Genomic DNA, 15,780 nt, shown 5'->3' with positions numbered 1-15,780 from the left:
AAGGTGAGACCCTTTTTGGGTGTGACTTGTCAAGGGCAAAAGTTACCCAGAAAAGTTAATTTCTTGGGATGGGGGAGGAGGTATTAACCCATCACCCTCTGTTGCCTCCCAGAGCTAAAGGAGCCTAGAAACAGAGAAACCGTCCAGGATCCGAAAAAAGTGTTTTCACCTGGTGTTCCCCAGACTTCCCAAGAAGACTGCCATGTGGCAAGAGGCTGTTCAGATGGCCAAGTGCAGGAAAACCAGCACCAACTGCATTATTAGACAGATCTAGGTTTGAATCCCAGACCATCTGTGGGACCTGAAGCTTAGAGGAGCAACTCCCCTAACTGCTCCAGGCCTGTTTCTTCTTCTAGAAAATGGGCATAACACAGGAGCCAAGATGGCCGAATAGGAAGAGCTCTGGTCTACAGCTCCCATCGTGAGCAACGCAGAAGACGGGTGATTTCTGCATTTCCATCTGAGGTACCAGGTTCATCTCACTAGGGAGTGCCAGACAGTGGGTGCAGGACAGTGGGTGCAGCGCACCGTGCGCAAGCCAAAGCAGGGCGAGGCACTGCCTCACTCGGGAAGCACAAGGGGTCGGGGAGTTCCCTTTCCTAGTCAAAGAAAGGGGTGACAGATGGCACCTGGAAAATCGGGTCACTCCCACCCTAATACTGCGCTTTTCCAACGGGCTTAAAAAACGGCACACCAGGAGATTATATCCCACACCTGGCTCAGAGGGTTCTACGCCCACAGAGTCTCACTGATTGCTAGCACAGCGGTCTGACATCAAACTGCAAGGCGGCAGCCAGGCTTGGGGAGGGGCGCCTGCCATTGCCCAGGCTTGATTAGGTAAACAAAGCAGGCGGGAAGCTCGAACTGGGTAGAGCCCACCACAGCTCAAGGAGGCCTGCCTGCCTCTGTAGGCTCCACCTCTGGGGGCAGGGCACAGACAAACAAAAAGACAGCAGTAACCTCTGCAGACTTAAATGTCCCTGTCTGACAGCTTTGAGGAGAGTAGTGGTTCTCCCAGCACGCAGCTGGAGATCTGAGAACGGGCAGACTGCCTCCTCAAGTGGGTCCCTGACCCCTGAGCAGCCTAACTGGGAGGCACCCCCCAGTAGGGACAGACTGACACCTCACACGGCCGGGTACTCCTCTGAAACAGAACTTCCAGAGGAACGATCAGGCAGCAGCATTTGTGGGTGGCCAAAATCCGCTGTTCTACAGCTACCGCTCTTCTGCAGCCACTGCTGCTGACACCCAGGCAAAGAGGGTCTGGAGTGGACCTCTAGCAAACTCCAACAGACCTGCAGCTGAGGGTCCTGTCTGTTAGAAGGAAAACTAACAAACAGAAAGGACATCCACACCAAAAACCCATCTGTACGTCACCACCATCAAAGACCAAAAGTAGATAAAACCACAAAGATAGGGAAAAAACAGAGCTGAAAAACTGGAAACTCTAAAAAGCAGAGCACCACTCCTCCTCCAAAGGAACGCAGCTCCTCACCAGCAACGGAACAAAGCTGGACGGACAATGACTTTGACGAGTTGAGAGAAGAAGGCTTCAGACGATCAAACTACTCCGAGCTACAGGAGGAAATTCAAACCAATGGCAAAGAAGTTAGAAACTTTGAAAAAAAATTAGATGAATGGATAACTAGAATAACCAATGCAGAGAAGTCCTAAAAGGGGCTGATGGAGCTGAAAGCTAAGGCTCGAGAACTACGTGAAGAATGCAGAAGCCTCAGGAGCCGATGCGATCAACTGGAAGAAAGGGTATCAGCGATGGAAGATGAAATGAATGAAATGAAGCGAGAAGGAAAGTTTAGAGAAAAAAGAATAAAAAGAAACGAACAAAGCCTCCAAGAAATATGGGACTATGTGAAAAGACCAAATCTACGTCTGATTAGTGTACCTGAAAGTGAGGGGGAGAATGGAACCAAGTTGGAAAACACTCTGCAGGATGTTATCCAGGAGAACTTCCCCAATCTAGCAAGGCAGGCCAACATTCAGATTCAGGAAATACAGAGAATGCCACAAAGATACTCCTCGAGAAGAGCAACTCCAAGACACATAATTGTCAGATTCACCAAAGTTGAAATGAAGGAAAAAATGTTAAGGGCAGCCAGAGAGAAAGGTCGGGTTACCCACAAAGGGAAGCCCATCAGACTAACAGCGGATCTCTCCGCAGAAACTCTACAAGCCAGAAGAGAGTGGGGGCCAACATTCAACATTCTTAAAGAAAAGAATTTTCAACCCAGAATTTCATATCCAGCCAAACTAAGCTTCATAAGTGAAGGAGAAATAAAATACTTTACAGACAAGCAAATGCTGAGAGATTTTGTCACCACCAGGCCTGCCCTAAAAGAGCTCCTGAAGGAAGCGCTAAACATGGAAAGGAACAACCGGTTCCAGCCACTGCAAAAACATGCCAAAATGTAAAGACCATCAAGTCTAGGAGGAAACTGCATCAACTAACGAGCAAAATAACCAGCTAACATCATAATGACAGGACCAAATTCACACATAACAATATCAACTTTAAATGTAAATGGGCTAAATGCTCCAATTAAAAGACACAGACTGGCAAATTGGATAAAGAGTCAAGACCCATCAGTGTGCTGTATTCAGGAAACCCATCTTACATGCAGAGACACACATAGGCTCAAAACAAAGGGATGGAGGAAGATCTACCAAGCAAATGGAAAACAAAAAAAGGCAGGGGTTGCAATCCTAGTCTCTGATAAAACAGACTTTAAACCAACAAAGATCAAAAGAGACAAAGAAGGCCATTACATAATGGTAAAGGGATCAATTCAACAAGAAGAGCTAACTATCCTAAATATAAATGCACCCAATACAGGAGCACCCAGATCATAAAGCAAGTCTTGAGTGACCTACAAAGAGACTTAGACTCCCACACAATAATAATGGGAGACTTTAACACCCCACTGTCAACATTAGACAGATCAACGAGACAGAAAGTTAACAAGGATACCCAGGAATTGAACTCAGCTCTGCACCAAGTGGACCTAATAGACATCTACAGAACTCTCCACCCCAAATCAACAGAATATACATTTTTTTCAGCACCACACCACACCTATTCCAAAATTGACCACATAGTTGGAAGTAAAGCACTCCTCAGCAAATGTAAAAGAACAGAAATTATAACAAACTGTCTCTCAGACCACAGTGCAACCAAACTAGAACTCAGGATTAAGAAACTCACTCAAAACCGCTCAACTACATGGAAACTGAACAACCTGCTCCTGAATGACTACTGGGTACATAATGAAATGAAGGCAGAAATAAAGATGTTCTTTGAAACCAACGAGAACAAAGACACGACATACCAGAATCTCTGGGACACATTCAAAGCAGTGTGTAGAGGGAAATTTATAGCACTAAATGCCCACAAGAGAAAGCAGGAAAGATCCAAAATTGACACCCTAACATCACAATTAAAAGAACTAGAAAAGCAAGAGCAAACACATTCAAAAGCTAGCAGAAGGCAAGAAATAACTAAAATCAGAGCAGAACTGAAGGAAATAGAGACACAAAAAACCCTTCAAAAAATTAATGAATCCAGGAGCTGGTTTTTTTTAAAAGATCAACAAAATTGATAGACCGCTAGCAAGACTAATAAAGAAGAAAAGAGAGAAGAATCAAATAGACGCAATAAAAAATGATAAAGGGGATATCACCACTGATCCCACAGAAATACAAACTACCATCAGAGAATACTACAAACACCTCTACGCAAATAAACTAGAAAATCTAGAAGAAATGGATAAATTCCTCGACACATACACCCTCCCAAGACTAAACCAGGAAGAAGTTGAATCTCTGAATAGACCAATGACAGGCTCTGAAATTGTGGCAACGATCAATAGCTTACCAGTCAAAAAAAGTCCAGGACCAGATGCATTCACAGCCGAATTCTACCAGAGGTACAAGGAGGAGCTGGCACCATTCCTTCTGAAACTATTCCAATCAATAGAAAAAGAGGGAATCCTCCCTAACTCATTTTATGAGGCCAGCATCATCCTGATACCAAAGCCGGGCAGAGACACAACCAAAAAAGAGAATTTTAGACCAATATCCTTGATGAACATTGATGCAAAAATCCTCAATAAAATACTGGCAAACAGAATCCAGCAGCACATCAAAAAGCTTATCCACCATGATCAAGTGGGCTTCATCCCTGGGATGCAAGGTTGGTTCAACATTCGCAAATCAATAAATGTAACCCAGCATATAAACAGAACCAAAGACAAAAACCAAATGATTATCTCAATAGATGCAGAAACAGCCTCTAACAAAATTCAACAACACTTCATGCTAAAAACTCTCAATAAATTAGGTATTCATGGGACGTATCTCAAAATAATAAGAGCTATCTATGACAAACCCACAGCCAATATCATACTGAATGGGCAAAAACTGGAAGCATTCCCTTTGAAAACTGGCACAAGACAGGGATGCCCTCTCTCACCGCTCCTATTCAACATAGTGTTGGAAGTTCTGGCCAGGGCAATTAGGCAGGAGAAGGAAATGAAGGGTATTCAATTAGGAAAAGAGGAAGTCAAATTGTCCCTGTTTGCAGATGACATGATTGTATATCTAGAAAACCCCATTGTCTCAGCCCAAAATCTCCTTAAGCTGATAAGCAACTTCAGCAAAGTCTCAGGATACAACATCAATGTACAAAAATCACAAGCATTCTTATACACCAATAACAGACAAACAGAGAGCCAAATCATGAGTGAACTCCCATTCACAATTGCTTCAAAGAGAATAAAATACCTAGGAATCCAACTTACAAGGGATGTGAAGGACCTCTTCAAGGAGAACTACAAACCACTGCTCAAGGAAATAAAAGAGGATACAAACAAATGGAAGAACATTCCATGCTCATGGGTAGGAAGAATCAATATCATGAAAATGGCCATACTGCCCAAGGTAATTTACAGATTCAATGCCATCCCCATCAAGCTACCAATGACTTTCTTCACAGAATTGGAAAAAACTACTTTAAAGTTCATATGGAACCAAAAAAGAGCCCGCATTGCCAAGTCAATCCTAAGCCAAAAGAACAACGCCAGAGGCATCATGCTACCTGACTTCAAACTATACTACAAGGCTACAGTAACCAAAGCAGCATGGTACTGGTACCAAAACAGAGATATAGATCAATGGAACAGAACAGAGCCCTCAGAAATAATGCCACATATGTACAACCATCTGATCTTTGACAAACCTGACAAAAACAAGCAATGGGGAAAGGATTCCCTATTTAATAAATGGTACTGGGAAAACTGGCTAGCCATATGTAGAAAGCTGAAACTGGATCCCTTCCTTACACCTTATACAAAAATTAATTCAAGATGGATTAAAGACTTACATGTTAGACCTAAAACCATAAAAACCCTAGAAGAAAACCTAGGCAATACCATTCTGGACATAGGCATGGGCAAAGACTTCATGTCTAAAACACCAAAAGCAATGGCAACAAAAGCCAAAATTGACAAATGGGATCTAATTAAACTAAAGAGCTTCTCCACAGCAAAAGAAACTACCATCAGAGTGAACACGCAACCTACAAAATGGGAGAAAATTTTCACAACCTACTCATCTGACAAAGGGCTAATATCCAGAATCTACAATGAACTCAAACAAATTTACAAGAAAAAAACAAACAACCCCATCAAAAAGTGGGCAAAGGATATGAACAGACACTTCTCAAAAGAAGACATTTATGCAGCCAAAAAACACATGAAAAAATGCTCACCATCACTGGCCATCAGAGAAATGCAAATCAAAACCACAATGAGTTACCATCTCACACCAGTTAGAATGGCAATCATTAAAAAGTCAGGAAACGAGGTGCTGGAGAGGATGTGGAGAAATAGGAACACTTTTACACTTTTGGTGGGACTGTAAACTAGTTCAACATTGTGGAAGTCAGTGTGGCGATTCCTCAGGGATCTAGAACTAGAAATACCATTTGACCCAGCCATCCCATTACTGGGTATATACCCAAAGGATTATAAATCATGCTGCTATAAAGACACATGCACACGTATGTTTATTGCGGCACTATTCACAATAGCAAAGACTTGGAACCAACCCAAATGTCCAACAACGATAGACTGGATTAAGAAAACATGGCACATATACACCATGGAATACTATCCAGCCATAAAAAATGATGAGTTCATGTCCTTTGTAGGGACATGGATGAAACTGGAAACCATCATTCTCAGCAAACTATCGCAAGGACAAAAAACCAAACACCGCATGTTCTCACTCATAGGTGGGAACTGAACAATGAGAACACATGGACACAGGAAGGGGAACATCACACTCCAGGGACTGTTGTGGGGTGGGGGGAGGGGGGAGGGATAGCATTAGGAGATATACCTAGTGTTAAATGAGGAGTTAATGGGTGCAGCACACCAACATGGCACATGTATACATATGTAACAAACCTGCACATTGTGCACATATACCCTGAAACTTAAAGTGTAATAATAATAAAATTTAAAAAAAAGAAAGTAATGCAAAAACTGCAAAAAAAAAAAAAGAAAAAGAAAAGAAAATGGGCATAACACCTACTTCCTAAAGTTGTTGTGAAGCTTAAATTGGAATAAATTAGCTAACATACGTAAACACTTAGATATTGCCTGGCATATGATAGGTGCTCAATAAATGTTAATCTTATACCTCAGGTGAATTTGTGACTGGCCTTTTGCTTTCTTGGGAGGAGAGACACAGGCATTATAAATTTCACCTGTCCATGTGGTTTGTACTCTTCCTTTCTTCTGTTTAGCAAAATGCCCTTTTAAAAAGTCCCAACCTTGCTTCAGTTGAACTGATGGGCAAATGTGATTTCCCACACCTGAGCTAGGGGATCTAGGCTCTCAGACTGCCCTGAGAGCTGTGCTGCAGAGGCCTGGCCAGAACCCTCAGAGCAGCTCCGGACTCCTTCCTCTGTCACTCCTCCACATTCAACTAGAATCCTATGTCTCCCGAGTTGACCCTGTTGCAAATCTGTGCCCCTTTTCATTTGCATGGGCCCTGCCGAAATTCAGAAGCTTAGTTCTTCCCATGACTATAGGGGCCTCGGGCAGGTCTCTTGCTCTGTCAAGGTCAAAACCCCTACTTTCCTAAATTCAACCATTGATTCTCCATCTTCATCTTACTTGATCAGCCACACTTGACATAGTTGATCACTTCTCCCTTTAAACATCTTCACATGGCTTCTGGGACCTTTTGTTTTCCTCCTACCTCCCTGGCCACTCCTTTTCAGACTCCTTTGCTGGTTTGCTCTCATTTTTCCCTAACCTTTACATGTTGATATGCCAGAGCACCTCAAACCCTTAGACCTCATCTCTGCTACTCGTGCTCCCATGGTGATCTCATCTAGTCTCTGGTTTCAAACACAGAGTGATCACTCCTGTACTTGCTGTTTCCCTTTTCCTGGAGTTCTCTCTGCCTCCTGCAGGTAGGAAGTGATTCGAGATAAGAGAGGGAGAGAACTCTTCTGGCCAGGATAGAGGGTGATTCTGAGAAGGCTTCAAGGAAGAAGTGAGCATTTGAGCACGGCTACTTGAGGAAGGCTAGGCCATGGACATTAGGGTGCAGGCAGGAGCAGAGCAAACATGCTTGTAAAAGGAACAGCAATTATTCTGTTTTATATTTATATCAGCCCATGGTGGCCCCCACAGCAGAGTGGCTTGATCTCTCACCTCCTTCAGGTCTTTGTTTAAAGATTAACTTCTCCATGAGGCCTTCTATGAACATAACCTTTAAAAACATAAATCCCCTTCCTACTGGGACTCCCCCAGTTCCCACCCTGAGACCCCCTATCTCTCTTCTCGATTTTATTTCTCTCCATAGGATGTGTATCACCACCTGACTTACTAGCTATTTACTATATATTAGTTTATTTCTTCCCCATTAGAATGTAAACTTCCTGAGGGCAGGGATTTTGTCTGTTGAGTTCAGTTCTGTATCCCCAGCACCTAAAACAGTGCCTGTCCATAACAGGCATGTTAAACATTGTTGGACAGATGAATGAGTGAATGAAAAATGGTAGTACCTTTCCTCCTCCAGTCCATCCTACACAAAGAGGCAAGATTAATTTCCCTAAATGCGTGAGCATTAGGAAGTGGGAGGGATTGGAGGAGGAAATTATAATAAGGAATCCATAAATTACTTAAGCCCATAAAACAAAGGTAGGAAACATTCAAGATAAGAGACCTCTTCTGGCCAGGATAGAGGTTGGTTCTGAGAAGGCTTCAAGGAATAGGCAGACATTTCAGCAAGGCTGCTGAGGAAGGATAGGCTGTGGAAATTAGGATGCAGGTAGGAGGATCACAGAGCAAACACTCCAAGGTGGGAAATGCAAGTGTGTGTAGAAGGAACAGCAAGTATTGTTGGGTTGGGCTGGCTTATGAAGTTGTGACGGGCTGAGGGAGAGACAGGACTGGAAAAGCACGTTGGGGTCAGGTTGCAGAGGTCCTTGACTGACAGAGAGGGGAGCTTGGTCTGTGGGGAATCTTCTGCTCTGTGTGGTCAGAGGCTGGTCTGACTCTCCGGCCTTGCCCCAGTCTTCCTATCCTTCATCCAGCCCCGGCTGGCTCGGTAAAAACGGCGCGAATCTCGCTCTCCCTGGGTAACTAGGGTCCCCACTGCCTGGCTAGTGGTGCTTTTCGCGTCTTCACTGGCACCATTAATGAATGAAGTCTGGCTCCCACCCGCGGGGAAGGGAGGAGCCTCAACCTCGGGTCCTTTGCTCTCCTGCAGCACTCCTGCCCGGGTCCCGCCTCGGGGTCGCCAGGCCCTGAACCCCAACGCCGGCATTAGTCGCGCCTGCGCACGGCCCTGTGGAGCCGCGGAGGCAAGGGACGGAGAACGGGGCGGAGGCGGAGTCAGGGCGCCCGCGCGTGGGCCCCGCCCCCTTATGTCGGGTATAAAGCCCCTCCCGCTCACAGTTTCCCTAGTCCTCGAAGGCTCGGAAGCCCGTCACCATGTCGTGCGAGTCGTCTATGGTTCTCGGGTACTGGGATATTCGTGGGGTGAGTGCCGTCTCAACGGTAGAGCCGCTCGGTCAAAGAGACTGACGCGGAGAGGGCGGGTCTCTGGGTCCGCGATCTCCAGCAGGAGCAGCTCTACGCGGGAGCCTTTTCGAGCTGCCGAGCCACGGATGTCGACCCCTGCCCAGCCTCTGGGATCGCGGGCCCTGTGGGGAGGGGCGGAGGAGACCACGCCGGAGCCGGGCCTAGGGGCCGCTTAACCACCGCCCCGGCAGGACGCAGGGACTCGGCAGCCCCGGGCCGGGGAACGTTAGCGGGCGGGGGTTGGGAATGGGTGGGAGCTGCGCAGTCGCTGAACCGCTGTCTTCCCCAGCTGGCGCACGCCATCCGCCTGCTCCTGGAGTTCACGGATACCTCTTATGAGGAGAAACGGTACACGTGCGGGGAAGGTAATGCCGCTCCGCGTGCCCGTGCAGCCAAGCTGGCCCTCCACCTGCCCTGGTCTTCTTACGCCCAGAGGGTGGTGGCGTCGCGCCAAGGCCGGGTGGGACGTTTGCCCCAATCTGGGTGAATAGAGACACATCCTTTATCTGGAACTGGGGGTTCTCTTTTTAACATAGCCCAAACCCGTCTTAATGCTTAACCAAATAGGGCTCAGAGGCTCAATGGTTATGCTTTTGGGGCCTGGGAATTTGAGGTATTGGGACCAAGTCATTTCTTTAGATCTTTTGCTCTTGTCAGGTGGGGTATTAAGGAGGTTGGGTCCCACTTAATTCCGTCTCTTACAGCTCCTGACTATGATCGAAGCCAATGGCTGGATGTGAAATTCAAGCTAGACCTGGACTTTCCTAATGTAAGTGGCTTTAGTAGAGGTGGCGGGCAGAAGGGAAAGCCTTCAAGTATATCCATCCTTGCCTCTCTCCTGCCTGGTACAGAAGGATGCAAAATAGGGGATCTTAACCCGGATAGAATAAATAGAATTCAGGGGTCCTTGAACTGGATGGATATGTATTTTCATTCCCATTAACCACTAGCAAAAGTTATTTCCTTTTATTGTGAAGAGAGACAATAAGTGACATTGGTTATTAGCCATGTCTGTCACTTTGTCACTAGTAGAAATCAGGTATTTTCTTTTTTGTGTGTTTCTTGTTCTTTTGTTTTGAGACAGTGTCTCACTCTGTCGCTCAGGCTGGAGTGCAGTGGCGCAATCACAGCTCACTGCAGCCTCAACCTCCCAGGCTCAAGCAGTCCTCCCACCTCAGCCTCCCAAGGAGCTGGGACTACAGGCACACACCACTATGCCCAGCTAATTTTTGTATTTTTGTAAGAGACGGGGTTTTGCCATGTTACCCAGGCTGATCCTGAACTTCTGGGCTCAAACAGTCCTCCCACCTCGGCCTTCCAAAGTGTTGGGATTACAGGCATGAGCCACTGTGCCCAGCCTGAAATCAGGTAGTTTCATATTCTATAACATGCGTTGCAGATATTTTAAGTGATATTTATATACATGTAAGTAAATATATACATATAATGTTATTTACTTTGAGATTATGTTAGTCATTACATCTGCTTGCTATTTAATGCACTAATAGGCACATGTTACTCTTATTTGAATTTTTAAAAATATTTTTTGATTGTGTAAATTATCTATTTTGCTTCATGCATTTAACAACTTTATTCTGAGAAAAGGTCCATGGCATGCACATACACTCACACATACACACACCAATTTAAGAACCCCTGTCTAGAATCTTGTGGACCCAGTTGCTACCTTCTACTTATTTTCTTTTTTCTCCTAACACAGCATCTTCTCACTCTTGTTCACTGCCCTGCAAGTGTTCTTTTCCCCTGGAGAGAGAGGTAGGGAATCAAGAGAGAGGCAGGTTGTTCATTTGTCCTGTCCTTTTCCTTTCAGCTGCCCTACCTCCTGGATGGGAAGAACAAGATCACCCAGAGCAATGCCATCTTGCGCTACATCGCTCGCAAGCACAACATGTGTGAGTGGGGTAGGGCTGGTGAGGGACCCCAGGCTGGTAGTTTGTCTGAGAGTGGATGATGCCAAGGGTGATTTGTTGTCATTTGGCCTACAGGTGGTGAGACTGAAGAAGAAAAGATTCGAGTGGACATCATAGAGAACCAAGTAATGGATTTCCGCACACAACTGATAAGGCTCTGTTACAGCTCTGACCACGTGAGTTTCCTTAGCACACATCTGCTGAATGGAGTATCAGAAAAAGGGGTATTTAGGAACCCAAGGGTTATCTCTGTTCCATTCTGCTGCTGCTACCTTCCCACCAATCCAGATTGTTAGAATAAGAAACAGAACTTATATTTTTTGGTTTGTTTTGTCATGTAATTCTGGTGCTGGTGCCTCTTCTTTCTAAACTCCTCTTTCCCCACCCTGCCATCCTCAAGTGAAGGCAATGAGAACCCACCTAGAGAAGGGGCTACTAAGTGTCCATCACTGGCCTGTGCCCTGATTAACTACAAAGATGATCACCACTATTCTCATTCTGTTTTTTCCTCTCAGGAAAAACTGAAGCCTCAGTACTTGGAAGAGCTACCTGGACAACTGAAACAATTCTCCATGTTTCTGGGGAAATTCTCATGGTTTGCCGGGGAAAAGGTAGGAAGAAGGGAAAAGAAGAGGATACTTCTCTATCTCTGCAGGCTACTACTCCTCAGACCTAAGCATCTTATTGCTTTTCTTCTAGCTCACCTTTGTGGATTTTCTCACCTATGATATCTTGGATCAGAACCGTATATTTGACCCCAAGTGCCTGGATGAGTTCCCAAACCTGAAGGCTTTCATGTGCCGTTTTGAGGTGACGTTTCCTGCACCTTTCTCTTATAAAAACACTCACAGGCTCCCCTGGGACCTGCAGGATCCCATAGTGGAGGATTCTTCCCCGGCTTTTGCCTAATGGGATCAATGGTTGGACACCTCTAGACCTTTAAGTCTTGGGAAGAGCCTAACTTCTATACCTTGGAGGCACTGTCTACAAAAAAATGGAGGAGGTAGACGCAGGCAACACGTGAATGTTGCTGTTCTGGTATGCATCTGTTGGACTGGGTTGGGGTCGTTATAAGATTTGGTGTATTTTCCTTTCAGGCTTTGGAGAAAATCGCTGCCTACTTACAGTCTGATCAGTTCTGCAAGATGCCCATCAACAACAAGATGGCCCAGTGGGGCAACAAGCCTGTATGCTGAGCAGGAGGCAGACTTGCAGAGCTTGTTTTGTTTCATCCTGTCCGTAAGGGGTCAGCGCTCTTGCTTTGCTCTTTTCAATGAATAGCACTTATGTTACTGGTGTCCAGCTGAGTTTCTCTTGGGTATAAAGGCTAAAAGGGAAAAAGGATATGTGGAGAATCATCAAGATATGAATTGAATCGCTGCGATACTGGCATTTCCCTACTCCCCAACTGAGTTCAAGGGCTGTAGGTTCATGCCCAAGCCCTGAGAGTGGGTACTAGAAAAAACGAGATTGCACAGTTGGAGAGAGCAGGTGTGTTAAATGGGACTGGAGTCCCTGTGAAGACTGGGTGAGGATAACACAAGTAAAACTGTGGTACTGATGGACTTAACCGGAGTTCGGAAACCGTCCTGTGTACACATGGGAGTTTAGTGTGATAAAGGCAGTATTTCAGACTGGTGGGCTAGCCAATAGAGTTGGGACAATTGCTTACTCATTAAAAATAATAGAGCCCCACTTGACACTATTCACTAAAATTAATCTGGAATTTAAGGCCCAACATTAAACACAAAGCTGTTGAAATATTGATGAAAATGTAAGAATTTTTGTGACCACGGGGTAGGAGAAGTTTCTTTAAAGACGTAAAAAGAAAAAAACCATAGGCTGCTCTGCCTGTGGAGTAGCCATTCTTTATTCTTTTACTTTTTAAAATAATAACAATCACAAAGGAAAGATTTGCCAATTGAATAGGATCAAATTCTACAACTTTTCCTAAGGCACCCACAAATAAATGACAAGTGAGACAAAAAGCACTAGTATAAAGATTATATAAAGACCTATAAATCATTAAGACAACTGAGTTTTTAAAAATGGACAAAATCCATGAACAATTTATAAAATAGAAATATAGCCAAAAATGTCTAAAAGATGTTTATGATGTAAGGAATTATCAATTACAACAGTGAGAAACCATATTTCCTTCTATCCGATGAGTAAAAAGTTTCTAAAGTGTTGGCAAGGCTTAGGAAAGTGATATGCATTTCCTGCTGGTCAAGTTGTAAATTAGTATAGCTACTTTGGAGGACAATTGTAAAATTTAAATCATATCCTATGACCCAGCAATTCCATGCTATAAAAACTCATCCATGGCCGGGCTTGGTGGCTCACGCCTGTAATCCCAGCACTTTGGGAGGCTGAGGTGGGCAGATCACGAGGTCAAGAGATCGAGACCATCCTGGCCAACATGATGAAACCCCGTTTCTACTAAAAATACAAAAATTAGCTGGGCATGGTGGCATGTGCCTATAGTCCCAGCTACTCAGGAGGCTGAGGCAGGAGAATTGCTTGAACCTGGGAGGCAGAGGTTGCAGTGAGCCGAGATCACGCCACTGCACTCCAGCCTGGCTACAGGGCGAGACTCTGTCTCAAAAAAAAAAAAAAAAAAAAAAAAAAAACATTCAAAGAGACATATACTAAGATGTTCACTGTGGCATTGTCTGTAATGACAAATAAGTGGAAACCGTGTAAATACCTGTCAATACTATGGAGTACCATGTGGCAACGGAAGAATGAGACTGAACTGTGTGAACTAACATGCAAAGATCCCCAAAACAGGCCAGGTGTGGTTGCTCACAGCTGTAATAACAACACCTTCAGAGGCTGAGGTGAGAGGATCAGTTGAGGCCAGGAGTTTAAGACCAGCCTGGGCAACATAGTGAGACCCCTGTCTCCCAAAAATTTTTTTTAATTAGCTGTGCGCAATTGCTCATGCATAGTCCCAGCTACCCAGGAGGCTGAGGTGGGAGGATCACTTGAGCCCAGGAATTTGAAGCTGCAGTGAGCTGTGTTCTTGCCACTGCACTCCAATCTGGGTGACTGAGCAAGACCCTGTCTCTTAAAAAAATAAAAAAGATCTCCAAGCATAGAGAAGAGTCTGGAGGGAAACACCAAACTCATAACAGTCTTACTGCAGGCAAGTGGGATAAAGGCCCAGACTCCATGGTGGAAGTTAAAGGGCATTTCCAAGTTAAGGCTAAGACTTGCTTTTCTAACTAAGAGAATGTGCTCATGCATTGCTTGTGTAGTAGAAACTAGTTTTTAGAAAAGAAAGCAAACTTAAGAAACACTGACTCCTGTGGAGATGACTTGGCACCACTCTCCTTTCACAGAGCAGAGTCTGAATAGTCTTCAGAGATAGGCCTGTGGGCCAGATTGCCATCCCCTATGGACCAGAAGCCAAGGATCTCTCTAGTGATGGTCAGAGGGCCCAAATGGCAGGGATACCCAGTGATGTCAGGAGGAATAGTACAGACAGAAGGTGCTAAGCAGACAATTCAACTGCCATGTTTTGCCACCCCCTGTGAGCAGGGATTAGGTGTTCAGGCCAGTATCTTGGGCATGGGGGAGCCTTTGGCCAGAAGAGGTATAAAGCTCAGAAGTTTTTCAGTCTGATAACTATTGATATAATTTCCATAGTGTGAGGGAGCGGTATGCTCTACCCTTGTGTATTTAAGGCAGGACAGAGAAATTGAGGATGCCCCTGGGGCTAGATCGATGATATGACCAGAAATCAAAAAGGGAATGCATTATTTATTGCTGTGTAACACTGTTAAGAGAGGAGGTAGTTAAGGGATGGATAGGCACATAGAGAGGGAAGGTCTCAGGAGAAGGGATAGAAAGGAACTATGTTCACAAGAACAACGGCAAGACAGTGCCTATACTGCCTCTACAGTTAATAGGAAAAACGGAAGAAGTTACCCTTAAGCTAGGATGTTGCTCAGAAGTGACCATCCCAACTTTGGTGCGGGCACAATAAATCAGCCTAAATGTCCCTAATTTAACCCAGCTCATTATAATGTCATTAAACATGACATTAGCATTGTGGTTTTAGCACCCCCATGGGTTTTGCTTAGGCACTCATGGGTAATAACCAAGATGGAGTCCCTTTGGCAAAACTTAGGCATGCACAGCTGTAGTACCCCAAGAAGAAAATGTTACTTCTCTCATCTGGGCAAAACCCACAGAAGACTTCCCAGCTTCTGCCACATAAAAGACACAGAACACAGACGCCTTACTGGCAACCTGCTTTCAAGACCCCTGTCTTTGCTGAGAGCTTTCCTTTTTCCCAATAAATTCTACTCTGCCCTACTCACTCTCCATGTCCATGTGCCTAATTTTTCGTGGTCATGGGACAATAGCCTGAACCTTGCCATACTCCAGGGGCAAAAGAAGACTTCTACACTATTCCCACAAATTTAGCAGCTAAAACAATACATGTTTATGGTCTCAAAGTTTTGTGGATTAGGAGTCTGGGCACAGCTGAACTGGGTCCTCTGCTCAGGGTTTCATCTGAAAACTGCCATCAGTGTGTCATCCAGAGCTCTGATCTCATCCCCAGGCTCAGTGGGAGAAGGATCTGCCTCCAAGTCTGTGTAATTGTTGATAGCGTCAGTTCTTTGTTCCCTGTGGGACAGAGGCCCTCCATTTCTCATTGGCTGTCGGCTAGAGCCACCTTCAGTTCCTTGCAAAAGGGATCTCCTCAACACGGCCACCCA

The 15,780-nt window shown here is 45.0% G+C and overlaps 1 protein-coding gene across 2 annotated transcripts, besides 1 other annotated feature; it reads left to right on the top strand.

Moving 5' to 3' along the window:
• Positions 1-8,275: 8,275 nt before the first annotated feature.
• On the top strand, positions 8,276-15,377 carry GSTM3 (glutathione S-transferase mu 3). Of its 2 annotated transcripts, NM_000849.5 has the most exons (9): positions 8,276-8,361; positions 8,803-9,074; positions 9,406-9,481; positions 9,821-9,885; positions 10,948-11,029; positions 11,123-11,223; positions 11,563-11,658; positions 11,747-11,857; positions 12,145-15,377. In NM_000849.5, the coding sequence occupies exons 2-9, from the start codon at positions 9,027-9,029 to the stop codon at positions 12,241-12,243; spliced, it is 678 nt and encodes a 225-aa protein (NP_000840.2). In that variant the 5' UTR covers positions 8,276-8,361; positions 8,803-9,026; the 3' UTR covers positions 12,244-15,377. The 2 variants fall into 2 exon arrangements, 1 of the variants encoding a protein (NP_000840.2); NR_024537.2 differs by lacking the exon at positions 9,406-9,481.
• Positions 8,837-9,066: a silencer, noted in NCBI's record as "silent region_1158". NCBI's record gives its function as "represses an Ori minimal core promoter by ATAC-STARR-seq in GM12878 lymphoblastoid cells {active_cell/tissue: GM12878}" and the evidence as "EXISTENCE:reporter gene assay evidence [ECO:0000049][PMID:35858748]".
• Positions 15,378-15,780: the final 403 nt, after the last annotated feature.

Source organism: Homo sapiens, chromosome 1, assembly GCF_000001405.40.
Source record: "Homo sapiens chromosome 1, GRCh38.p14 Primary Assembly".
Lineage (NCBI taxonomy): Eukaryota > Metazoa > Chordata > Mammalia > Primates > Hominidae > Homo > Homo sapiens.
This window is presented reverse-complemented; position numbering and strand designations above follow the sequence as displayed.

Coding starts and splice junctions, on each gene's coding strand:
- GSTM3 (NM_000849.5), top strand. CDS start 9,027: ATGTCGTGCGAGTCGTCTATGGTTCTCGGGTACTGGGATATTCGTGGG. Junction 9,075..9,405: donor GGTACTGGGATATTCGTGGG/GTGAGTGCCGTC, acceptor TGTCTTCCCCAG/CTGGCGCACGCCATCCGCCT. Junction 9,482..9,820: donor ACGGTACACGTGCGGGGAAG/GTAATGCCGCTC, acceptor CGTCTCTTACAG/CTCCTGACTATGATCGAAGC.